Source organism: Homo sapiens, chromosome 7 (genome assembly GCF_000001405.40).
Source record: "Homo sapiens chromosome 7, GRCh38.p14 Primary Assembly".
Classification (NCBI taxonomy): domain Eukaryota; kingdom Metazoa; phylum Chordata; class Mammalia; order Primates; family Hominidae; genus Homo; species Homo sapiens.
Window position 1 is genome coordinate 43,922,897 of NC_000007.14, and position 25,699 is coordinate 43,948,595.

A 25,699-nucleotide genomic window follows, 5' to 3' on the forward strand; every position below is an offset into this window, starting at 1 on the left:
TTTCTTTCTTTCTTTCTCTTTCTTTCCGTCTTTCTTTCTTTCTTTCCTTCTCTCTTTCTCTCTCTTTCTCCTCTCTCTCTCTCTTACTTTCTTTCTTTCTTTTAGAAGGAGTCTCGCTCTGTTGCCCAGGCTGCTGGAGTGCAGTGGTACAATCTCGGCTCATTGCAACCTCTGTCTCCCAGGTTCAAGCGATTCTCCTGCTTCAGCCTCCCAACTGGCTGAGATTACAGGCATGCACCACCATGCCAAGCTGATTTTTGTATTTTTAGTAGAGATGGGGTTTCACCATATTGGCCAGGTTGGTCTCAAACTCCTGACCTCATGATCTGCCCTCTTTGGCCTCCCAAAGTGCTGGAATTACAGGTGTGAGCCACTGTGCCCAGCCTTTTTTTTTTTTTTTTTCCCAAAGAGACAGGGTCTTGCTCTGTCTCCTGGGCTGGAGTACAGTGGCTCAATCATAGCTCCCTGCAGCCTCAAATTCCTGGAATCAAGCAATAATCATACCTCAACCTCCCGAATAGCTGTGCCCTCAGATGCACACCACCACATCCAGCTAACTTTTAAATTTTTCTGTAGAATCAGGGGTTCGCTATGTTGCCCAATCTGGTCTCAAACTCCTGGCCTCGAGCAATCCTCCAACCTCAGCTTCCCAAAGTGTTGAGATTACAGGCCTGAGCCACCACACCCAGCCTGATTTTTTTAAAATGTGCTTATTGTCCAGTTGAGTATCTTCTTTGAAGAAATTTCTATTCACATCTTTTGCCCAGTTTTTAATTGGGTTATTTGTCTTTTTTATTGAGTTCTAAATGTTCTTAATATACTCTGCATCTTAGACTGTACTGAGATATTATTATTTCAAACATTTTCTCGCATTCTGTGTGTTGTCTTTTTGTTTTCTAGTTGGTATTGCTTGAAGCACAAAAGTTTTAAACTTTCATGTAGTCAAATTTATCCATTTAAAAATCTTTTGTGTATTATTATTATTTTTTTTTTGAGACACAGTCTCGCTGTTGCCCAGGTTGAAGGGCAGTGGTGCAATCTCAGCTCACTGCAATCTCTGCCTCCTGGGTTCAAACAATTATTGAGCCTGAGCCTCCCAAGTAGCTGGGACTACAGGTGCATGCCACCACACCTGGCTAAATTTTGTATTTTTTGTAGAGATGGGGTCTCACCATGTTGGCCAGGCTGAGCTCAAACTCCTGGCCTCAAGCAATCCACCTGCCTTGACCTCCCAAAGTGCTGCGATTACAGGCATAAGCCACTGCACCTGACCAATTGTGTATTATTCTTGCAACATTTCTGTACATCTAAAATTATTTCAATGTTAAAAATGAAACATTACATATAAGCATGCTAAAAAGTTTAGAAAACTATGCACTAAACTACCAACAGGGAATAGAAACAGAATTTTTCATTTTCTATTATATGTTTTTTTCCTGAATTATACAAATGATGCAAATTCTCTGTAGAAATTTTAGAGATTAACACATTAGTAAACCTACCATCCAAAAGTAATATTTTTGAGATTTGAGACTTCAAAACCACCATATACATTATTAGCACATAAATAACCATTTATATATTCTTACACAAATATATCAACATTTATAAAATCTAGAATCACTTGTTTTATGGGGAGGGAAGGCCATGTCAATAATGTAGGAGGATGGATGGCCCATGGACTAACAAAAATTTCTGTTGTCAATGTTTGACACCAAGGGGAAGTGCTTGACTTGGGCTGTTCAATGGGTGATGCTTGAGCTGGCTTTGGAAGGTGAATGCTCTAGTCAAGGAATGTAGATGCTGTGGTGATGGAAACACTTGATAGTCAGGTGGGCTGGAGGTAGGAAGGAGAAGGTAAAGCTGGAGGATACTTTGAGTTTTTGTTTTTTTGAGACAGGGTCTTGCTTTGTCTCCCAGCCTGGAGTGCAGTGGTGCCATCACAACTCACTGCAACTTTGATCTCCTGGGCTCAAGTAAGCCTCCCAAGTAGCTGGGACTACAGGTGCACACCACCATGCCCAGCTAAGTTTTGTATTTTTTGTAGAGACGGGGTTTCACCATGTTGCCCAGGATGGTCTAGAACTCCTGGACTAAGGGATCCACCCACCTCAACCTCCCAAAGTGCTGGGATTACAGGCATGAGTAACTGTGCCCGGCCGAGGATCCTGGATTTTGAAGGCCCCTGGATGACAGTGAATGTGATGCTGTAGGCCACGGGGCTTCCTTGAAGAGTTCTGGGTAAGGATGCAGTGTGGTAAGCTTTATATTTCAGACAGTTCATGAAGTTGTGTGGAGGACAGATTGGGGGAATGGGAGCGTGAAAGCCAGGGACAAAGCTGGGCAACTATTGAAATGTCTATAATACATTTTATATGCTGACTGAGTACAAACATAGAGGTGACCATGTGTCTTGGCTGGCTGGAGACAATTCTAGATTACAGCGTTGGTCCCAGAGTAATTATATTAACAGCCACTTTCATGCTCAAACATGTCTCAGTCTGAAGATTAAATATCATCTACATACACACACCAACAAAACTTCCACAATTCTTACCTTTACTATGTGAAATGCACTGATATTTTATTCTGTTTTTTTATTTTTATTTTTTATTATTTTTGAGACAGAGTCTCGCTCTGTCACCCAGGCTGGAGTGCAACAGTGTGATCTCAGCTCACTGCAACCTCTGCCTCCTGGGTTCAAGTGATTCTCGTGCCTCAGCCTCTCAAGTAGCTGGGATTACAGGCATACGTCACTACGCCCAGCTAATTTCTGTATTTTTAGTAGAGACGGAGTTTCAGCATGTTGGCCAGGCTGGTCTCGAACTCCTGACCTCAAGTGATCCGCCTGCCTCGGCCTCCCAAAGTGCTGGGATTATAGGCGTGAGCCACCTCGTCTGGCTTTTTTTTTTTTTTTTTCAAAAAAATGTTGGTTGCAACCTATTAAATTGATTTCGTGACACACTAGTTCATAACCCTCAGTTTGAACAACTCTGACCTAGACGCCTGCCAAGTCTTGGGAAAATAGGAAGGAGACAGATAATTAAGTTTGGGAGATGCATAGTCTAAGGCCAGGGTTCTCAATGTTGGCAGTGCAAGATCACGTGAGGTACGACTGAACACGGAGATCTCCAAAACTGCGGAGAGTTTTGCGTGTGAACGTATGCACAGACATCTACATGGAAATGGCTGTAACGCATCCAGCCATAAGGCGTACGAGGGTATATATACTTACAGAGTTAAGAACCACTATTCTCAGGAGTTATATGACAGCCTGGGAAGACGCCCAGGATGTAGGAACAGGGAGCAGGCGAGCGTGTGGCACCTTGAGGGTGCTCCGCGCGTCTCCGTAAAGCCAACGAGCCCCTCCTCTTCGCTGGCCTCTCCGGGGCCTTGCTGACTAGTGGTCGAAGCCACAGGACCAGGTGCGGGTGGCCAGCGTAACCCGGGCAGCCCCGCTGCTTCCCCTCGGCCGCGCCAGGACGCTCGGCACGCGGCGACGACGGCCCCACAGTGCCCCGCGCGCGCAAGCGCAGGCTGCGGCTCCCGGCGTGCAGCTTGGTGGCGGCTGAGCCGGCAGCGGGCCGCCTCAGGCAGCCCCGGCCGGGCCGCCCGGGTCCCCGGCAGCGGGGTAGGATGGCGCTAAAGCGGATCCAGAAGGTACGCACTTTCCCACCCTCCAACTCTTTGGGTGTCCGAAGCGTCGAGGTGTGGGCGGGGCGCCGCTGCCGTGAAGTGAAAGGTGACGGAGGCTCCGCGAGTCGCGGATACACCTGCCTGGGAAGGAGGCAGAACAGCCTCCCGCGCAGCCTGAAAAGCGAACGCAGCCTGAGAAAGGGATTGCGCGAGCGCGGGGCGGGGCCGGGCCGTGGCCACGAGGGCTGCGTCATGCGGGCGGGGCGCCGTGGGGCCACCTGCAGGCTTCTGGACAGCGGGTTCCCCCTGTAGGGTATCCAGAAGGGCTGGGTGGGTATCCAGAAGGGTATCCAGGAAGAAGCTGGGTCCTAAGGGATGAGTAGGAACTCGGCAGGTGGGGAAAAGGGGAAAAGGCTTTCCCTGCAACGGGGAGACTACGAGGCTTGGAGGACTGACAGGGTAGCGGGGAAGCTGAAGGGCAGATGGTGTGGACTTGGGTGGTCCTTAGGAGCAGTGCTGAAGTAACTGGTTTTTATCCTGCAGGTAAGAGGGAGTCCATGAGGGTTTAATGCATTCACTAGAATTTGGAAAACGCACAACAGTAGAAGAAAGAAGTATTTCTAATTCTATCACTTTACTATTTGTTAACATTTTAGCATACCTACCTTCAGTTTTTTTTCTATATTTAAAACAATTATACTGCATTTTGTATTCCACTTATTCACATAATAGTAAATGTAAGCATGTTGTGAAGTAGTATTTATAACTTTTTTTTTTTTTTTTTTTGAGGTCTTGCTCTGTCGCCCAGGCTGGAGTATCGCCCAGGCTGGAGTACAGTGGCACAATCATGGCTCACTGCAGCCTCAACCTTCTAGGTTCAAGTGATCCTCCCTCCTCAGCTTCCTGGGTAGCTGGGACTACATGCCACCATGCCAGCCAATTGTTTATTTTTTGTAGAGACAGTGTCTCGATATGTTGCCCAGGCTGGTCTCATACTCCTGGGCTTAAGCGGTCCTCTTGCCTCTGCCTCCTAAAGTGGCGGGATTACAACGTGAGACACCATGCCCAGTCCTATAACTAATTTTTAACATTAACTTTCCACAAGTACATGACTAGTAACTTATTTAGTCATTACCTGTAGTAGGTAAAAGTATGGACTTGGGTGTCAGACAGACCTGGGTTAGAGAATGTGAGGTCACTTATAGTGGGACCTTGGGCAAGGCACTTTATCATTCCTAGCCTCCCAGTCCTACATGTTTACAGAGTTGTTTTGAGAATTAAATGCTATGAAATGTGTTTAGCACATGCTTGCTGTATACCAAACACTCAATACGAGTTAGCTGCTGTTATTGTTCAAAATTCTTCACTAAGTATTTGCTGTTACGAACTGTGTATTAGTCTGTTTTGTGTTGCTATAAAGGAATATCTGAGGCTGGGTAATTAATAAAGAAAAGAGGTTTATTTGGCTCTCGGTTCTGCAGGCTGTACAAGAAGCATGGTGCCAGCATCTGCTTCTGGTGAGGCCTCAGGAAGCTTACAATCATGGCAGAAAGCAAAGGAGAAGCAGGCGTGTCACCTGGTAAGAGAGGGAGCAAGAGAGATGCCACCTCTTTTAAACACCCAGATCTCACATGAACTAATAGAGTGAGCACTCACTTATTATTGTGGGGGGGCCACCAAGCCATTCATGAGGAATCCGCCCCCACGACCCAGATACCTCCCACTAGGCCCCACCTCCAACACTGGCGATCACATTTCAGCATGAGATTTGGGGGGGACAAATATCCAAACCAGATCAACCATCATTGTACAATGAGCCTTTTCCTTAATTCACATTACTGGGTTTGATTGCCAGAGGTGGAATTACAGGATCTCTGAGAGTATGACTCTTTTTTTTTTTTTTAAATAAATAGCTGTCCAAAAGAGAGATAATTCTGATGAGTTATTCTCTGAAAGGGGTCATCTGTCATCCTAGGACTTTGAAGCAGGTGAATGACATGCTGAGATCTGTGTTCTAAAAAGATCTTTCTGGCAGCAGTGTGGCCGGAAGTGGGACAGAGGGAGACTAGAGGCTGTTGTGAAGGTTCAGTAGAGGCTTTGTCCAAATTAATGACCATGGAATGGATGCTAGGCCAGAGCAGTGCCTGGACCACATTGCAGAAGTGGAATTGACAGGACTCGAGGAGAGGATGTGGTGAAAGTGAAACAAGGAGGTGTACAAAATGGGTCACTTAGTGGATGGTGGTGTCAGTGTCTAGGATGGGGAATCAGAAGTTTTGAAGGCAGGGAGGAGGGTAGGAGAGATTAAGGAATAAAGGTTTGAGCCTACATATTCAAATGTGTAGGCTGATAAGATTTATAAAAGGGAGCGTTTGGAAAAACAAGTTTGGGCCTTGAGCATGAAATGTCAACTATAGATCCAAGGTAATTGAAATCATAAGGCCAGGGAGAACTTTTCCTTGATAAGAATCAAGGACAGGCTGGGTACAGTGGCTCATGCCTATATCCCAGCACTCTGGGAGGCCGAGGCAGGTGGATTGCTTGAGTCCAGGAGTTGGAGACCAACTGGGCAACACAGCAAAATTCCATCTCTACTAAAAATAAAAAAATGGCCGGGTGAGGTGGCTCATGCCTGTAATCACAGCATTTTGGGAGGCCAAGGCGGGTGTATCATTTAAGGTCAGGAGTTTGAGACCAGCCTGGCCAACTTACTGAAACCTCTTCTGTAATAAAAATACAAAAAAATTAGCTGGGCATGGTGGTGCATGCCTGTAATCCCAGCTACTTGGGAGGCTGAGGCAGGAGAATTGCTTGAACCCAGGAGTGGAGGTTGCAGTGAGCTGAGATTGTGCCACTGCACTCCAGCCTGGGTGACAGAGCGAGACTCTGTCTTAAAAAAAAAAAAAAAAAGTAAATAAAAATTAAAAAAAAAATTAGCCAAGCGTGGTGACACACACCTGTAATCCCAGCTACTTAGGAGGCTAAGGTGGGAGAATCACCTGAGCCCAGGAGGTCAAGGCTGCAGTGAGCCTCACCACTGCACTCCAGCCTGGGCAACCAGAGTGAGACCCTGTCTTAAAACAAAAGCAAAACAAGAATCAAGGTCAGGGCTGGCTTCATGTGTGTGTGACGCATTCACTCTCACAGGGCCCCAGGCTTGGATGGGCTCTGCCTTTGGTTTTATGCTCTGCTGTCACTATCAGGAAATTCTTAATAATTATCGAACTTGAGACCCTACATTTTCACATTCACAAGGCCCTGCAAATTCTGTAGCAATTCCTGGGGAAAAACAACAGAATTGTAGGAAATACAACTTTAAAAGTGTGTCAAGCCTGCCGTGGTGAGATGGCACCATTGGGCCACCACTAGTTAGGATGTCTTGGCTGCAAGTGACAGAGGCTGAGCTGCCCTTGTGCATGGAATTGGAGGTCCTGTGGCAGGACTTTGGGAGCAACTCAGTCCCCCTCTCCTGGTCTGTTCCTGTGTCACTCTGGGCTGAATGGCTCTGGAACACACAGCCTGCTGGACATCTGGGAGTAATAGAGACAACTGCTTCCAGAAGAACTGATAAGAATATTCTCAGAAAGCCCAGCAGATCTTTTTTTCCCTTTGCCTTGTTATGAATTATGTCTCATGCTCATTCCGAAACCAATGAGTGGCAAGGAGTCTGGTTACTCTTAGACCTGGAGCTGACAGTGAGTTGACCAGAACTGAACAGCAGTCCTTCAGAAAGGAGGAAGGCGGATGGGTGCTGAGCAGGTAGCCAGCAGTATGCAAGCCTGAGCCAGGTGTGTGGTGTCTACTAGCTGCCCCCTTAGTTTCCAATCCACAGCCCTTTCTAACCAACTTCAACCCTTTAAAAAAATGTTTTCAAATGAATGTTTCAAATTGAATATTTTTAGATGCACTTTTTAGTTAGTTAGTTAGTTAGTTAGTTTTTTGAGACAGGGTCTTGCTCTGTTACCTAGGCTGTAGTGCAGTGGCTCAATCATAGCTCACTGCAGCCTTGACCTCCTGGGCTCAAGCAGTCCTCCCACTTAGCTTTCCCAGTAGCTGGGATTACAGGTGCCTGCCACCACATCTGGCTAATTTAAAATTTTTTGTAGAGAGTGGATTTCACCATGTTGCCCAGGCTGGTCTCAAACTCCTAGGCTCATGTAATCCTCCCACCTCAGCCTCCTAAAGTGCTGGGATTACAGGTGTGAGCCACTGTTCTCAACCAGGACAGGGTTATATGTGGCAGCATTTCAATTTTTTAATGGTTTTTTTTCTCTTTGATACGTGTATTAGTCCATTCTTGCATTGCTGTTAGGAAATACCTGGCCAGGCACAGTGGCTCATGTCTGTAATCCCAGCATTTTGGGAGGCTGAGGCGGGCAGATCATCTGAGGTTAGGTCCTGGTCAACATGGTGAAACCCCATATCCACTAAAAATACAAAAATTAGCTGGGTATGGTGGCATGTGCCTGTAATCCTGGCTACTTGGAAGGCTGAGGCAGGAGACTTGCTTGAACCCGGGAGGCAGAGGTTTCAGTGAGCGATCATGCCACTACACTCCAGCCTGGGTGATAGAGTGAGACTCTGTCTCAAAAAAAAAAAAAAGAAAAAAAGAAATACCTGAAGGCTGGATGAGGTGGCCCATGCCTGTAATCCTAGCACTTTGGGAGGCTAAGGCAGGTGGATGGCCTGAGCTCAGGAGTTCAAGACCAGCCTGGGCAACATGGCAAAACCCCAGCTCTACCAAAAATAGAAAAAATTAGACAGGCATGGTTCTTGGCATGTGCCTATGGTCCCAGCTACTCAGGTGGCTGAGGTGGAAGGATCGCTTGAGCCAGACAGAGGTGGAGGTTGCAGTGAGCCGATATCGTGCCACTGCACTCCAACCTGGGTGACAGAGTAAGACCGTATCTTAAAAAACAAACAAACAAACAAAACAGAAAACCTGAGATGAGGTAATTTAGGAAGAAGAGTTTTAATTGGCTCACAGTTCCGCAGGCTGTACAGGAAGTATGGCACTAGTGTCTGCTCTGCTTCAGAGGAGGGGAAACTCACACTCACTGTGGAAGGCAAACCGGGGTGGGGGGGCGGGGGGGGTGGCAGAGCAGGCATGTCACATGGCCAGAACAGGAGCAAGAGAGAGAACAAGGGGAGGTGCTCCACACTTTTATTTATTTATTTATTTATTTTTGAGACAGGGTCTCTGTCACCCAGGCTGGAGTGCAGTGGTGCAATTTCTGATCACTGCAGCCTCCGTCTCTCTGGTTCAACTGATTCTCCTGTGTCAGCCTCTGGAGTAGTGTGTGCCACCATGCCTGGCTACTTTTTTTTGTATTTTTAGTAGAGACGGGGTTTTGCCATGTTGCCAGGCTGGTCTTGAACTCCTGAGCTCAAGCGATCCACCCACTTGGGCCTCCCAAAGTGCTGGGATTACAGGCATGAGCCACTGTGCCTGGCCATGACACACTTTTTTTTTTGAGACAGAGTCTTGCTCTGTCGCCCAGGCTGGAGTGCAGTGGCACGATCTCGGCTCACTGCAAGCTCTGCCTCCCAGGTTCACACCATTCTCCAGCCTCAACCTCCCTGAGTAGCTGGGACTACAGGCGCCTGCCACCACACCCAGCTAATTTTTTGTATTTTTAGGAGAGACGGGGTTTCACCATGTTAGCCAGGATGGTCTCGATCTCCTGACCTCGTGATCCACCCGCCTTGGCCTCCCAAAGTGCTGGGATTACAGGCACAAAGTGAGCCACTGTGCCTGGCCCATGACATACTTTGAAACAACCAGATCTTGTGAGAAGAGGATAATACCAAGTGGATTGTACTAAACCAATCACTTCCCACCAGGCCCCACCCTCAACGTTGGAGATTACAATTTGACAAGAGTTTTGTGTGGGAACACAGATCCAAACTATATCAATACATATTTAACACATATATTTTGCAATACATGTACTTTAAAGAAAATTTGGAAAATACCTGGCTAAGCAGGGTGGCTCACGCCTGTAATCTCAGCACTTTGGGAGGCCGAGGTGGATGGATCACTTGAGGCCAGGAGTTTGAGACAAGCCTGGCCAACATGGCAAAACCCTGTCTCTCCTAAATATACAAACATTAGCCGGGCATATTAGTAGGTGCCTGTAATCTCAGCTACTCGGGAGGCTGAGGCATAAGAATCGCTTGAACCCAGGAGATGGAGGTTGCAGTGAACCAAGATGGCGCCACGGCACTCCAACCTGGGTGACAGAGCGAAATCCTGTCTCAAAAAAATAATAAAAATAAAATACATAATAAAAAAATAATAATAGAAAAAAAGAAAATTAAAGAAAATTTGGAAAATGCCCCCAAAATTCAGTTTTTAAAAAACTCATCTCTAGTCATCTAAAGTGGGGTCACTTTTTCTTGCTGGAATGTGTGCCATCCAGTTCCCCTCCTGGGGGCAACAAATGTTAAAGTATATATATATATATATATATATATATATACACACACATATATATACACATATGTATGTGTGTATATATATAACATATATACACACATATATATACACATATGTATGTGTGTATATATATAACATATATACTTATATGTGTGTATATACATATACGTACATATATATGTGTGGGTGTATATATATATATATTCTACCTATTCATGTAATTGTAGTTAACATTTTTGTGGATTTCTTTTCAGTGCCTTTGATGTGTATGTGTTTCAGATTGTTGTCATGTAGTGCATCAAATTTTATACTCTGCTTTTTTCTTGCCCTTTTCCTCTAATGTTGTATCATGACATTTTCTCCTGTTATTCTGTAGTCTTTAAAAACTAATTTTCAGTGGCTGCATAATACTTGGTTTAGTTTCTCAAAAAAAAGTTTAGTTAACTTCTGATTATAAAGGTAGTAATTGTTCTTTAAAGAAACTTGGGGCTGGGCGTGGTGGCTCAGGCCTGTAATCCCAGCACTTTGGGAGGCTGAGGCAGGAGGATCGCTTGAGGTCAGGAGTTTGAGACCAGCCTGGCCAACATGGTGAAACTCATCTCTACTACAAATACAAAAATTAGCTGGGCATGGTGGTGCGTTCCTGTAATCAGTCCCAGCTACTCTGGAGGGTGAGACACCAGAATTGCTTGAACCCAGTAGGCAGAGGTTGCAGTGAGCCGAGATGGTGCCAGTGTACTCCAGTCTGGGCAACACAGTGAGACCCTGTCTCTAAAAATAAAAATAAAAAATAAAGAGAACTTGGAAATAAGATAATACCATATTCATCTACTTCAAGATGAATATTTTTTCAAATGTTCACGTCTCTGAAATTGGGATGCTTCTTACAATAGCTGTCAGCCAGGTTACCTTCACTTAGATGTCACTATCTGTATGAGTAAACCATCATGGCAGTTCATTATGAGGTAAGTGCATTGCTGGTACTATATTTGTTGAGTTTAATTGTTTTAAAAATATTTTCAAAAAGATAGTGTGATTTAGCACTGAAAAGAAAAGCTTTTGTGAACACAGGCACAGAAACAGGACAACGACGAGTAAATTTCATAATAAGGGAGCAAATATTTGTTGTTGGAGGAAGGACTGGAATTTCCTAATTCCATGTCAAGCAACCAAATTCTTCATAGCCACAGAAAGGAAGGTACCACCTACCCTCAAGTTGGTGAGACTGGGTCATTTTTTTTTTTCTGGAATACGTGCAAATAGATTGTGTATCATGGGCCTTTGCAGAATAAGTATTCATGGCTTGAAAGAAAACTCCAGGAAGAGTAGTAGAGGACTCTAAGAATTGCCACATTACCATTGTTTTGGAAGACACAGAGGATGATATTGTGTAGACATCAATGACTCAGTGTTGGGCTCTGAATGGGAAGAAACTTTAGGAATACCTGAACAAACCAGTTTATTTATTTCACTTGTTTTTCCTTTTTTTTTTTTTTGTATTCATGAATGATACTTAACAAGAAACACACAAAGCTATGTTTAAGCCTAAAATAATTCTTTTGATAAAAGTAATTTTAATTTTTTAATTTTTTGAAACAGAATCTCACTCTGTCACACAGGCGCAGTCTTGGCTCACTGCAACCTCCACCTCCCGGGCTAAAGCAATTCTTTTTTTTTTTTCCCACAAGAAGAAAAAGTACATTTTATTTAATGACCAAGTACACACACACATTCACACACATGCATATGTACATATAACTAAAAAAAATATTTTTTCTCATCACATGGGATGCATTGTGAAATATTCTACATTCTTTCATTTAAAGAAAAATGCTGGTCACGTTTTAGTAAAAATCTTTCACAAATCACTAATATGTTACAATGCATAACTGCTCTAGAGCATTAACAATGCTAAGCTATAATTTTAGGGAAATATATAGTGGTGCTCCTTCTTAGAATTAGCCCATGTGGTATTTTAGGTACTCAACTCAGGGAAAAAAAAAATGTAACATAGCCTTGTTACCATGTATTCAGCCTGGACATGGTACATGCTTTCAGTGAGCTTAAATCACCTATCTTCCTAGGCCCAAGATCTGAGGGAATGACTTCCAACTACGTAACAGGACCCTTTGTCTGTATTATACATTTTATATGTCTTTTTATGTACATTGTTTCACTTGTTCCTCACAACAACCCTGTGAGGTAGGGAGGGGAAAATATCAGTTACGCTTTATAGATAATGAAGTTAAGGTTCAGAGAGGTTAAGTGACTTTCTCAGTTACCTAGTAAAAGGCAGAGACAGAATAAGAACTATTAACTTTTAGGTTGGGGGCCCTTTTCTCTAAACCACATAGCTTTGGAGAGTATATTCTAACCCAAAATATTTTTACTGCTTCATCCTCATTTTCTTATTATTAATTCAACTTTTTACAGAATACCATAAAAGACCTAATTCTAAATTCATCATGCTAAATTTATGCTTCTCTGTAAACTTATGGCCACAGAATACATATTTTTTTTTTTGGAAAGCACTGTCACTTTGGCCCTAAAGGAACATAAGCAATATAAAGGGCCCCAGAGGCCAAGGAAATTGAAGAGAAGTCAGAAGAAGGGATATAAAATGGAATGTGTTAACGGATTTTAGTCCCTTTAAGTTTGCACTTTTGTGAGAGGGTTCAATGGAGAGCTTTAATGCAGATGAGACTTGAAGCTTTTGAAGAAGATCTAAGTCTTGATGAGGTTATTCAAACTCAGATCTTGAACGCATAATGATGATAGGCCATGGTCTTCAAAAACGTGGTACTTGATGCTCTCCCACAGTGCCAGGACTGGAATGTCACAATACATATAGATTCATGTTTTTGTCCATTAATGGTCTGTGGGTTTCTTTAAATGAAGCCCATTTTAGAGTCCATAGATATCAGTGTTCTGCGAAACTGTTGGGGATTGGAGGCTCCCAAAAGACCCCAGATGCTCTGCCCTGCCCATGGCATCACCCTCTAAAGCGATTCTTGTGCCTCAGCCTCCTGAGTAGCTGGTTATAGGCACATGCCACCAAGCCCAGCTAAGTTTTGTATTTGTAGTAGAGACAGGGTTTCACCATGTTGGCCAAACTGGTCTCGAACTCCTGACATCAGGCGATCTGCCTACCTCGGCCTCCCAAAGTGCTGGGATTACCGGCATGAACCACTGTACACAGCCTGATAAAAGTAATTTTTAAATACAATTAAAGTTTATGTGCAAAGAAAGCATTTGTGTTAGTTTATTTGCCAGCATGTTTTTTTTTTCCTAATTGTATGTAAAGTAAAATTGTGTCTTATAAAGGATGGAGTCTTGGAGTTGACGAAACACCGTAAAGGAATAACTGAGTGTGTACCATGGTTTGCTTAACTCTTCTCTACTACTATTCAATACTTTAACTTACTTTCTCTTTTTCGGAACTTCTCACTTTTATCATTGTTACTTGTAATAGTAATTACTATATAAACTTAATCTACTTAATCCTTTACAATTAATAAAATATTTATATATTTAATGATTTGGTAATAAATTCCCATGGTTCAAAATGTGCACAGGATATACAGGGAAAAGTCTCCCACCCAAGACTGTCCCTAGCCATCCAGTTCCCCTCCTGGGTGGGCAACCAGTGTCGAAGTATTCTTCTAGAAATATATATATTCTACTTATTCCTCTCCCTTTTTATAATACTAATTGTAGCATTCTCTATACCACTATTATCTTGATATTTACTGGGTGCTCTTGCTTACATTATATACATTAAAAACTTACATGCAAAATTTGTAGCCACACAATAGTACCGGCAAGTTGGCAGGCAAGTATGATTACAACTTAACAGGTAATTACACTGAGGCCCAAAGAGGTGAAAGTGATTTCCTCAGTGACGGAGCTTGGATTCAGACCTGAGTCTTCTAACCCTGAGGTGAGCACAGGAATTCGATGTGTGAGTGGACTAGTTTCTTTCAAGTCACACCATTCTTCCTTGAAATGCCAGTTAGTATTCGAAACTCCTGGGTGCTGGTTGGAGTCTAACAATAGGGATCCACACGTGGCCTTTCAGGGATCATTAAGTGCTGGTGTAACTGTTCATCACACCTCTAAAGGGGGAACATGGATTCTGCATATAGGCAGTGCAAAAGCATAGAGGTGTGGGAAAACCTTGTGAGGTGGAGGGGAATTGGTCTGTACTGCTGGCTTTTCCTGCCCCTGGCTGTTCATATAACCTCTTCAGGATTTGCCTTAGCAGTTCTGTCATAGGGCTAATTTATCCATGCAGTGTAGCAATGAATATAAACAATTCTCCTGCACAGTGATAGTGGAGGTGCTGAGGGGCACATAGCAGAGAGGTAAGCTAAAAGGAACTGTTCCACAGAGATTTCTGTAGCTCTTGCATTTCTGAGCCTGTCCTTGGTCCCCTTGTATGACCTCACTTGTTCCCCAAGTTAAATTCTCTTTTGGCCACTCCTAATGCTGCTTCCTGAGTGCTTGCCAAGTATAATTCATTTTACTTATGAGGAAATGGGTTCAGATATATTAGATACTAATCGAGAATTGGCCAGTGGTATACTGGTAGATGTTTAAAGATCAACCCTCGGGGAGAAAACATGGCCCTGATTTGTAGCATTTGCTGGCTTCTGTGATGTTAATACTTCCATCTTGGCTGATTAAATTTGAAGTGAAGGGGATAAATGCAGGATGGCCAGAGATGTGGTTACTGAAATGATCAGCATGTCCAGAGACATATGGTGAAATCAGGAGAGTTTGTGTAGATAGGACAGTGTTTGGCTTAGTTCAGGGTTGGTGTCCCATAAAGGGAATCTAGTCGTGGTATAATCCCTGATCCCCACTGGTGCAGTGTTAAACTTTGGCTCACGTGCCAGTCTCCACATTCAGAGCCCTAGGACTTGCCACATAACCAGTGGTGACTAGGGTGATTGGGATGGTGGTTGGGGAGGTAAAGTAGAGAGATTAGCACTTCCTTGGTGCTGCTTCCATGCATTAATTCATTAGCCTAGCAGTAAAACCTGGCACCTATCCTTCTCCCAGAACTCTCTCCTGGGCTGCTTTTCTTCCATATCTTCAGCACCTGGGGGCCTGGGGATGTCCTCTACCTGAGGAGGTAGGAGGCTAGGCTTGGGGGTAAGGCAGAGCTACATGTGACTGACTTCTTGCCCTGCCCTCTTCCAGCTCTGTACCTTGAGTAGGTAACTTCATCACTTTACAATTCAATTTCCTAATGTATAAAATGGAAATGATCATACCTACTTCTCTGGTATCTTTGTAGCAGGGAGTAGAGTCCTATGACCCACCATGTCTCTAACCCCCTCCTGAGGCCTAGGAGCCTCCTCCCACCAGGAGAATTCCTTCCAGCTACCAAGATTGGTATGTAGAGGCAGCATCCCCAGCATACAGCAGCTCTGACCCACTCTCTCATGTTCTAGGAATTAACCGACTTGCAGAGGGATCCTCCTGCCCAGTGTTCTGCAGGACCTGTCGGTGATGACTGTAAGTATTTTGGGGGGCTTCAAGTTGTAGGAGCATTTTAATTAAGACCCCCCAACTTAGGCCAGGTGCGGTGGCTCACGCCTGTAATCCCAACACTTTGGGAAGCCAAGGTGGGTGGATCACCTGAGGTCAGGAGTTTGAAACTAGCCTGGCTAACATGGCGAAACCCCGTCTCTACTAAAAGTACAAAAATTAGCCGGGCATGCTGGCACATGCCTGTAATCCCAGCTACTTGGGAGGCTGAGGCAGGAGAATCGCTTGAACCCAGGAGGCAGAGGTTGCAGTGAGCCAAGATCGTGCCACTGCACTCCAGCCTGGGCAACAGACTCTGTCTGAAAAACAAACAAACACAAACAAAACCAAACAACCAAATTATCAGCCAAGCAGTATTTAAGAAAACCAATCAATGCTTTTCCCTTCATTTTCTCTTGAATGGCTTTTCATTTGAGGTCTAGGCCATGAGTTCACAGCAGCTTGGCTGGTCAGCTTATACTCAAAGTAGAACCTGCACTGCCTCTCATGTCCCATAGTCACCGCTTCCCTCTTCTGGCGCATGAGAAAGCCAGCTTGGCCTGAGGAGTCACATCAGCTGCTGGAAAGTGCCCTTGGCCAAGTCAAACTTGGGTGCTGGTGTAAATATTGTTGGAGTTGGTCTAGAGGACCTGGTGCTGCTGCAGCTCCTGGGAGCAGAGCAGGACAGTGGAGGAGGGGCAGGGCAGGGTAGGGCAGTGGCCACTTGCCTCTGCCAAGGGGAAGGGCAGTCCCTATTATTTTCTCCCACTTCCACTCTTCCCTGGCGGAGACTGAAGCAGCAGCTCTGGGCAGCTTCTTGGGAGAGAGAGGGAGAAGCAGCACTGCCTGTTCCAGGCCTCTGCTGTCCCTCACAGGTGCTGGCCGAGGCTGAGCTGCCCAGCACTAGGGTTTCCAGGTCTGTCCTCTGCCCACTCACCTTGCCTCCACTTTGTGGGCTTCTTGGGCTCTGGGACACCAATCCTTCCCTGTGAGGCTTCAGTAACTGCAGCCATAGGAAAATAGGTGGGGAGGGGAGATACTATGTGTTCAAGGAGAGTGGTGTCAGAGGTACATATACCAAAGAATCAAAAACAGAGTGAGACAGAATGTGTATGCCAATGTTCACGGCACCATTACTCATGATTTTCAGAAGCTGGTAACAACCCAAGTGCCCATCAGTGGATGACAGATAAACAAAATATGGTTCTGATACACATTACAACATGAAAACATCCCAAGTGAAATAAGCCGGAAAGAAAAGAATGAATATATGATTCCACTTACATGAAATATCTAGACTAGGCAAATTCATAGAGACAGACGGTAGATGAGAGATTACCTGAGGCTGATGGGGGGTGGAAATAGGAGAAATATTGTTTCATGGATACAGAATTTGTTGGGGGTGATGGAAAGCTTTAGAAATGGATGGGGGTATGGTTCTACAGCATTGTGAAGGCATTTCATGCCACAGAATTGTACACTTTAAAGTTGTTTAAATTGCATATTTTATTATATATTTTTAACTACAATAAAAAGAAATTTCACAAAGCTGGAAAAAAGGAGGGCATGGCATCATATGTGTGCCTGCATGTCCTGGGAGGGGACTGAGCTTAGAGGAGCCAGCGGTAGGCAGATGGAGCCACTGAAAATGGAGGACTCTAAAGGCTTTATGTGGGAGTTTAAATCTCATTTCTGGAGCAGAGCAGAAATGTTTCCCAGCTGCCTATGCAGAGTGTAAGAAACAAGAATGACTCTGCTCCACTGTCTCCTGGTACCTGCTCATCACTCTGCTCCCCACTAATCAGTGTTTACCTCATGTCGTCCTCACAAGCACCCCAGGTCTCCATAGCATGCTTCCCCTCTTACCTGTCACTTAAGATAATATCAGATTAAACTGGGGTCGCTGTAAGCTTGAACTAGTTCTTGTTTAGCCTTACCTGTCTAGAGGCAGCTCCTTGATGCTCAGCTCAGCTCAAATTTACCTTGCACCAGAGCCCAGTGCTAAGAGAGGCTAGCATCAAGGCTAGCCACCACAGTCAGACCTCAGTGGATGAGGTTCAGACAGCACTGGAAGCTAGCCTTTGGGGCCATTTCACACCCGCCTCATGGGCTCACAGCCATTTCCAGCATCCCTCCTGTATATCCTTTCTCGTCCTCTTGCTTTTGGGGCCTTCTCTTCTGACTCTGCTCTCAAGCACTGCTTAGTGTCCCAGCAGCCCTCAGGGTTAAAGTGAACAAGACCAGAGGATTCTAACCTTCCGTTCTGAAATATATTATCAAAACACTTTTATTTAATAAAGAATTCCATTCACATTAATGTTAGGCAAAATATGTCTACTTTCAACTAACGATTAGCATGAATTGGAATAAAAACAGTCAAAAGCAAAAAAAAGTGATATTTTTATTAACTCAGGCAGGCTTATTACAGGTAAAGGTGTTCTTTTCAGCACCATTTCTTTGAAATATTGAAAAGGGCTCATGGGCCACCTTGACTACTTTTGAACACCTCTAGGGGCTTGGGAAACTTCTGCTTTAGTCCCTGCACTTGTGCTCCCACCCCAAACCTTGGTGCTTTCCTAGGCCTCCTGTTGTGTAGAGCCTGTGGGGTACTTAAACAGGTGACAGGAAACCCAGGACAGGACCAGGTCTGAAACTCTGGGCTAATTCCATATCTACTATGAATCCATATGAGACAGAATTCTCTTGGTAATAACAGGCCCTTCAGATGATCCCAGCAACCCACTCCTGTGGGTGAGTAGGCATTTTCCACCAAGGCCCTAGAGTCAATATCCCTGGGACCATTTGTATGACTTGGGAGCCTTGAATGTGAGTGTTTGGGCCATACTGGGCTAGCCTTGCTGATACACAGGAGCTTTTCTGGGAATGGGTAGAGCAGTGAAAGTCACCTGAGATGCTGGAGAGGGTGTGATGTGCAGCAAGAGGGGGCTCTAAACTCTCACCAAATGGTGGTGACCTGGAAGGGAAGCATGAGAGGGGCTCATCGTGACCTTGTTACTGAGTGCCTAGAGCACAGGGCACTGCCCAGGGGTTGGGCAGGAGAGGACTCAGATGAAGGCAGCACCCTTGAGGCTCCAGGGCCACGGGCAGTTGGCTCCTGAGAGACACTCTTTGAAGAGGGCTTCACAATGAATCAGGAGAAGAACCAAGGAATAGAAGGGTTTATAAAGAGCAATAAGGAAAATGGCTGAAGCCTAGCCAAGGCTTAATTCTGTGCAAAGAACTGACTGAATTGTAGTTACTGGCATTTGTGTAGTAAAGAATTTAATCTTGGCTAAGCACAGTGTCTCACGCCTGTAATCCCAGCACTTTGGGAGGCTGAGGCTAGCAGATTTCTTGAGCCCAGCCTGGGCAACATGGTAAAACCCCATCTCTACAAAACAATAACAACAAAAAGAATTTAATCTTGTCCCCAAAAGATCTGGCCTTCATCCTTAACACGTAGGGGGCGATCTGTAAGATACCATACCTGATAGGAATGTCTTTGTTTGGCTGGAAGCTTTAATGCACACCAACAATGTGATTTAGGGTGAGGAATGGCCATACCAAGTAGACCAGCCATGTGATTTCAGGTGAGAGCCTAGCCCGGGCAACATAGCAAGACCCCATCTCTACAAAAATGAAAAAATAAAAGTAAAAAAATTAGCCAGATGTGGTGGCACACACCTGTTGTCCCAGCTCCTCAGGAGGTTGAGGCAGAAGGATAGCTTGAGCCCAGGAGTTTGAGACTGCAGTGAGCTATAATCATGCCACTGCCCACCAGCCTGGGTGGCAGAGTGAGACCATCTCAAAAAACTAAAAAATAAAATAAGGTGGGGGCTTGGATCATGCCTGGAGGAGCTGGAGACTGGAGCCTGAGATCAGTCCTATGGGCATTCAAATAAGTCAGTCATGCTCTCAGGGTGGAGCTCCAATGAGAATTCTGAATACGGAGGCTCCAGTGAGCATTCCTGATTGGGTGTTCTGTGTGTGTTGCCATACAGCAATGCCAGGAGAGTAACACATCCTGACTCCACGGAGAGAGAAGAATAGAAACTCTGCGTTTGGACCCTCCTGATGTTAACCTATGTTGTTTCCCTGTGATAACCAGCAATCTTAAGCACAACCACTTTCAGTGAGCTCTGGGAGTCCTAGGCAGTTATTGCATCTTGGGTGGTTTGGGGAACCCCAGTCTTGCAGTTGGTGTCAGAAGTGAGTGCATCTTGTGTAGACAGTGCGCTGTAATTTAGCAGTGCGTTTTCAGTAGAATGACATGTTTCTTGGGGGGTCTCTTACATGCCCGTCTCTCTTTTGTTTTGTAGTGTTCCACTGGCAGGCCACCATCATGGGCCCGGTAGGTAGTAGCTGCTGAGCGCACCACTCCAGTTTTGCTTCTTGCACTTTGGGCTTAGCACATGCACTGATCTCTTTCTGTGTCTCATCCTTCCAGAATGACAGTCCTTACCAAGGAGGTGTTTTCTTCCTGACCATCCACTTTCCTACAGATTACCCGTTCAAGCCCCCAAAGGTGAGGTCCCTCTCCCAACTCCCCTGATGTTTGGATGAAGGACAGCATGTGACAAGGGGCCCTTCAAGTCAGGTATAGGTAAAAAGAGCTGTACGTGGGGTTTCTCTGAGGGCCCACTGCTCCACCCTGTGGTGAGAGTTTCCCAGGACTTTAATTACTGGACTTTGGGAATTAGCACCTGTTGTGATCAAGGGTCAGTGGGGTGAGCTGGTGCTGGCCTTACTGAGGCCACAGTTTGAATGCTTCTCCTTGTGACTGTAGCTGAGTCTGGTCATGTCTCCAGGCTCTGGCTCCCTTCTCTGCAGTCCCTTAGAGTTAGGACAGGGGTTCTCAGCCGGGGTGATTTTGCTACTGCCCCAGGGACATTTGAGCAACATCTTAGGATATTTTGGGTTATCAAAACCGTGGTGAGGGAGTACTACTGGTATCTAGTCGGCAAAGGCCAGGGTATTCCAGGGATTCCCTGCAGTGCACAGGAGAGCCACCCTTCCCATGACAGATAATGATCAGCCCCAAGTGTCAATAGTGCCAAGGTGGACACACCCTGGTTTAGGACTGGTGAGTCACACCTTCACTTTTCTTTATTAAGTTAAAAGAATAGCAAGCCTCCTTTGCCCTTCATGCACACACCATCCCATCAGTGGAGCTTTAGAGAGCAGTGCCACCAAAGGGAAGGAGAAGCCCAGGGAGCTGCCTCGACCACCCTGCCCTAGCATGTCTTGTGCACCGCAGGTCGTCTCACTCCCTGGACCCTTGGACCTCGTACTCCTTCTCACCTGGGCTCTGCATGGGTGGCCGAGCCTGCCCTGAGGCTCATAGTCCTGTGGAGGAGACAGGGCATTTAGCATGTGAGCTACTCAGCACTGGGAAGGAGCACAAGCAGTGGTTGGCAGCAGGAGCCAGGGTGGTGGAGAGATTGCCCTGAGAAAGGGGAACTGCAGGAGCTCAGCAAGAGGGCGGACAGGTCCCCAGGAAACTGCCCCAGGGGAGTGAGCCTGTGAGGAGTTGGGAAGGAGGCCAGAGGGGTACGGATGGCCCCAGGAGTAGGGTCTGCACGCCGTTGTGGGGATCGCCACACCGACACAATCACTCTGCTGCCTTGTGGAGAAAAGGCTGGGGTTCAAGTGATTCTCCTGCTTCAGCCTCCTGAGTAGCTGGGACTACAGGCACTCGCCACCACATGTGGCTAATTTTTGTGTTATTTTTAGTAGAGACAGGGTTTCACAATGTTGGCCAAGCTGGTCTCGAACTCCTGGCCTTAGGTGATCCACCCACCTCCGCCTCCCAAAGTGCTGGGATTCCAAGTGTGAGCCACCACGCTTGGCCAGGTTGTGCATTTTGTCAAGACTTACTCGAAAGTCCTGCATCTGCATCAGACCCCTTAGCTGAGGGGTTGTGATATTGCTATGTCTTACTACCTTGACTTGGCCTTGATGCCTCAATTTGAGTCAGAGGCTTAGCTGCTGTTTTGCATGTTGTTTATCTGAGTCAATGTGAAGAAGCCCCTTCTGTGCTCACCAGCTGCAGCTCTGTCCAGACATCGCCACCAGAGGCTACCTGGTGCCTGAGCATTTTAAATCTTTGTTAAATATGCTTAGGATCCCAGAGACCTTTTAAGCTTTTAGCAAGGGAGTGGAGTGTGCTGAGCAGGACAATGACAGATGCTAAAATAGCTTCACCACATTGGAGTACAACTGCTGTTCAAGGGAGTTTGGTTGAAAAATCATAAGCATGCTTCATGGTGCTGTGATCCACCCCTTCTCCCTTCCCCTCTGGAGAGACTGTGGCAGAGTCTTATCAAGTAGTAATTTTCTAGCTTGTCTCTTTCATTACTGTGTGAGCAGCTGAGGATTTTCCTTAAACAGATACCAATGTAGTCCTGAATGTCTGTTGGGCATTTTCAGCATACCTAATTGCCTAAGGACAAAGGAGAAACAGTGATTATTATTATTATTTTTTAATTATTATTATTATTTTTGAGACACGGTTTCACTCTTGTCTCCCAGGATGGAGTGCAGTGGCACAATCTCAGCTCACTGCAACCTCCGCCTCTCGGGTTCAAGCGATTCTTCTGCCTCAGCCTCCTAAGTAGCTGAGATTACAGGCACCCGCCACCACGCCGGCTAATTTTTTGTATTTTTAGTAAAGATGGGGTTTTGCCATGTTGGGCAGGCTGGTCTCAAACTCCTGACCTCAGGTGATCCGCCCACCACGGCCTCTCAAAGTGCTGGGATTACAGGCGTGAGCCACCGTGCCCAGCCAACAGTGGTTATTATTAAAAAACTAAGAAGTAAGCTCTGTGGGTGAGTTGGGATTATTTTAACAAGGAGAGATGTGAGCTGAAAGGTGACAGTGACACTCTATGAGAGAAGAAAGTGCTTCTGTCTTTTAAAAATCTCCTTCCACAGGGGAACAGGAGCAACGATTTATGTTTTGGCACAAATTTTCTGACAATAGGAGGAATCTGGCAAGATTGCATGATCTTTATTGGAGATATTGAGGCAGATACTTAATGTCTGCGATGATTTTGAAGTTTGACCCTTCCTGGGAAAAATTACAGATGTTCAAGCTCACATGCACACAACTCTCTTCTCATATTCGAAAGTAAGTTTAAAAAAAACTATTAAAAACTATATCAAACATGCAAAAAATTGTAGATAATGATATAAAGGATGTTTGTGCATCCTCCATCTAGACTAAGAAGTACCAGTGAGTTCTCAAAGCTAGCGGAGGAGGCAAAATCCCTTTTTTTTTTTTTTTTTTTTTTTTGAGACGGAATCTCGCTCTGTCACCCAGGCTGGAGTGCAGTGGCGTGATCTCGGCTCACTGCAACCTCTGCCTCCTGGATTCAAGCAATTCTCCTGCCTCAGCCTCCCAAGTAGCTGGGATTACAGGCATGTGCCACATGCCCGGCTAATTTTTTTGTATTTTTAGTAGAGACGAGGTTTCACCATATTGGCCAGGCTGGTCTCGAACTCCTGACCTTGTGATCCACCCACCTCAACCTCCCAAAGTGCTGGGATTACAGGTGTGACCACTGTGCCCGGCCGGCAAAATCCTATGTTCCTTTGCCCCAGCCCCTGCGTTGGGGTCACTGCTCACCCAGAGGGAGTGTAGGTGAGGCAGATTCTTAGGCTCCTATAGCAGTACAAGCTGCACCTGACTCAGAGCACCTTGCACATCACAGACAGCGGACTCTTCATGGGTCCCACAACATCCCTGGGAGAGGTACCATGTACCTACTTATAGTGAAGGCTCTGAGGTCCAAGGTCATTTGAAGAAGTAATGTGTGGCTGTGGTTTAAAAAAGAAAAAAAAAGTCAAATGTAGGACAGTATACAGTAGAAAATAGGACCTTCTTTAAACTTTGTCTCTCTAGCCACGCCTGGCCCCCCCGCCTTTTTTTTCCATAAGGCATTGAGTCCTACTTGTCTTTTCATTTCTCTTCCAAGAGTAATCTCAACCTGGATAAGCACTTGTTTGTGCTTCCTTGTTTTTCCCATGAATGGAACAGACCTTTCCGTGAATCTGCATCTTGCTTTTCCCATAGCAATATATCTTGGAAATTGTTCCATATGATCACATTCATGTTTTAAAAATTCACCTCATTCTTTTTAAACAGGTGTAATATTCTGTTGCTTATATATAACATTAATTTAACCAGTAATCAATCTGAAGACATTTAGGTTTTACATCTTTTGTTACAGTGGTTATCCTTACATATTTGAAGTGCACAAGGGTATTTTAGGGCTAAATTCTGAGAAGGGGGGGTCTTAGAAAGGGTGAAGTAGAAAGGTGGGGAGGGTTTGTGGCCTGGCAGAGGGTCCACGGCCTGAGCTTCTCTTTTTCTTTTTTTTTTATTATTATACTTTAAGTTCTAGGGTACATGTGCACAACGTGCAGGTTTGTTACATAGGTATACATGTGCCATGTTGGTTTGCTGCACCCATCAACTCATCATTTACATTACGTATTTCTCCTAATGCTATCCCTGCCTCAGCCCCCACCCCCCGACAGGCCCTGGTATGTGATGTTCCCCGCCCTGTGTCCCTGTGTTCTCATTGTTCAATTCCCATCTATGAGTGAGAACATGCAGTGTTTGGTTTTCTTTTTTTTTTTTTGAGACAGAGTTTCGCTCTTGTTGCCCAGGATGGAGTGCAATGGCGTGATCTCGGCTCACCGCAACATCCACCTCCCAGGTTCAAGCAATTCTCCTGCCTCAGCCTCCCGAGTAGCTGGGATTACAGGCCTGCACCACCATGCCCGGCTAATTTTGTATTTTTAATAGAGATGGGGTTTCTCCATGTTGAGGCTGGTCTCGAACTGCTGACCTCAGGTGATCCGCCTGTCTCAGCCTCCCAAAGTGCTGGGATTACAGGTGTGAGCCACCATGCCTGGCCCAGTGTTTGGTTTTCTGTCCTTGTGATAGTTTGCTGAGAATGATGGTTTCCAGTTTCATCCATGTCTCTGCAAAGGATGTGAACTTATCCTTTTTTATGGCTGCATAGTATTCCATGGTGTATATATGCCACATTTTCTTAATCCAATGTATCATTGATGGACATTTGGGTTGGTTCCAAGTCTTTGCTATTGTGAATAGTGCCGCAATAAACATACATGTGCATGTGTCTTTATAGTAGCATGATTTATAATCCTTTGGGTATGTACCCAGTAATGGGATCACTACTGAATCAAATGGCATTTCTAGTACTAGAGGAATACCTTGAGGAATCACCACACTGTCTTCCACAATGGTTGAACTAATTTACACTCCCACCACCAGTGTAAAAGCATTCCTATTTCTCCACATCCTCTCCAGCATCTGTTGTTTCCTGATTTTTAATGATCGCCATTCTAACTGCTGTGAGATAGTATCTCATTGTGGTTTTGATTTGCATTTCTCTGATGACCAGTGATGATGAGCATTTTTTATGTGTCTGTTGGCTGCATAAATGTCTTCTTTTGAGAAGTGTCTGTTCATATCCTTTGCCCACTTTTTGATAGGGTTGTTTGATTTTTTCTTACAAATATGTTTAAGTTCTTTGTAGATTCTGGATATTAGCCCTTTGTCAGATGGGTAGATTGCAAAATTTTTCTCCCATTCTGTCGGTTGCCTGTTCACTCTGATGATAGTTTCTTTTGCTGTGCAGAAGCTCTTTAGTTTAGTTAGATCCCATTTGTCTATTTTGGCTTTCGTTGCCATTGCTTTTGGTGTTTTAGTCATGAAGTCTTTGGGCCTGAGCTTTTCTGCTGATACATCAACAAAACATCACTGCTTTTTGCATAAAACTTCCTGGGCTTTTGAGTCCTTTCCACCACCCTTGTTATTCCTCAGAGCATACTGCTTTCAGGGAGATGGTATCAATCCCCCTATGTTCAGAATGAGAATCCAGCAGGGAATGGGTCAGGGAACTTCTGGGTGATCACTCACTCCCATATCCCATTAGAGTTTGGGAGTGGGGGTCTGGCTTAGCCTGCACTGTGGGGCCAGGTATGCAGCACACTCCAGGTACTGCCCAGCAGCAGCTGCTTCTGCTTTACTTGGTTCATTTCCCACACGTCCCT

At 45.2% G+C, this 25,699-nt stretch overlaps 2 protein-coding genes and 1 pseudogene across 10 annotated transcripts in view, besides 1 other annotated feature; 1 reads left to right on the forward strand and 2 right to left on the reverse strand.

Moving 5' to 3' along the window:
- Nucleotides 1-3,830, reverse strand: part of URGCP (upregulator of cell proliferation) — a 50,814-nt gene extending 46,984 nt beyond the window's left edge. For both annotated transcript variants that reach the window (NM_001077664.3, NM_001290076.2), the window contains exon 1: nucleotides 3,236-3,830. The gene's annotated coding sequence lies outside the window, so the exon portion shown is untranslated. The remainder of the gene's footprint in view (nucleotides 1-3,235) is intronic.
- Nucleotides 3,434-3,973: a silencer, noted in NCBI's record as "silent region_18133". NCBI's record gives its function as "represses an Ori minimal core promoter by ATAC-STARR-seq in GM12878 lymphoblastoid cells {active_cell/tissue: GM12878}" and the evidence as "EXISTENCE:reporter gene assay evidence [ECO:0000049][PMID:35858748]".
- UBE2D4 (ubiquitin conjugating enzyme E2 D4) overlaps nucleotides 3,540-25,699 on the forward strand; it is a 29,701-nt gene continuing 7,541 nt past the window's right edge. For 4 of the 7 annotated variants that reach the window (NM_015983.4, XM_006715734.4, XM_047420461.1 and 1 more), the window contains exons 1-4: nucleotides 3,540-3,660; nucleotides 15,535-15,598; nucleotides 19,930-19,961; nucleotides 20,058-20,135. In NM_015983.4, the coding sequence (NP_057067.1) occupies nucleotides 3,637-3,660; nucleotides 15,535-15,598; nucleotides 19,930-19,961; nucleotides 20,058-20,135 (198 nt within the window). In that variant the 5' untranslated portion in view covers nucleotides 3,540-3,636. Of the gene's footprint in view, nucleotides 3,661-3,917; nucleotides 4,180-5,117; nucleotides 5,216-15,534; nucleotides 15,599-19,929; nucleotides 19,962-20,057; nucleotides 20,136-25,699 lie in introns of those variants that run through there. The other 3 variants (XM_024446795.2, XM_047420463.1, XM_047420464.1) reach the window with 3 other exon arrangements.
- The window catches only part of POLR2J4 (RNA polymerase II subunit J4 (pseudogene)), a 78,300-nt pseudogene continuing 70,599 nt past the window's right edge, over nucleotides 17,999-25,699 (reverse strand). The window contains exons 15-16 of the transcript NR_003655.3: nucleotides 23,238-23,428; nucleotides 17,999-22,052 (exon numbers count right to left, since the gene is read on the reverse strand). The product of NR_003655.3 is annotated as an RNA polymerase II subunit J4 (pseudogene) (transcript). The remainder of the gene's footprint in view (nucleotides 22,053-23,237; nucleotides 23,429-25,699) is intronic.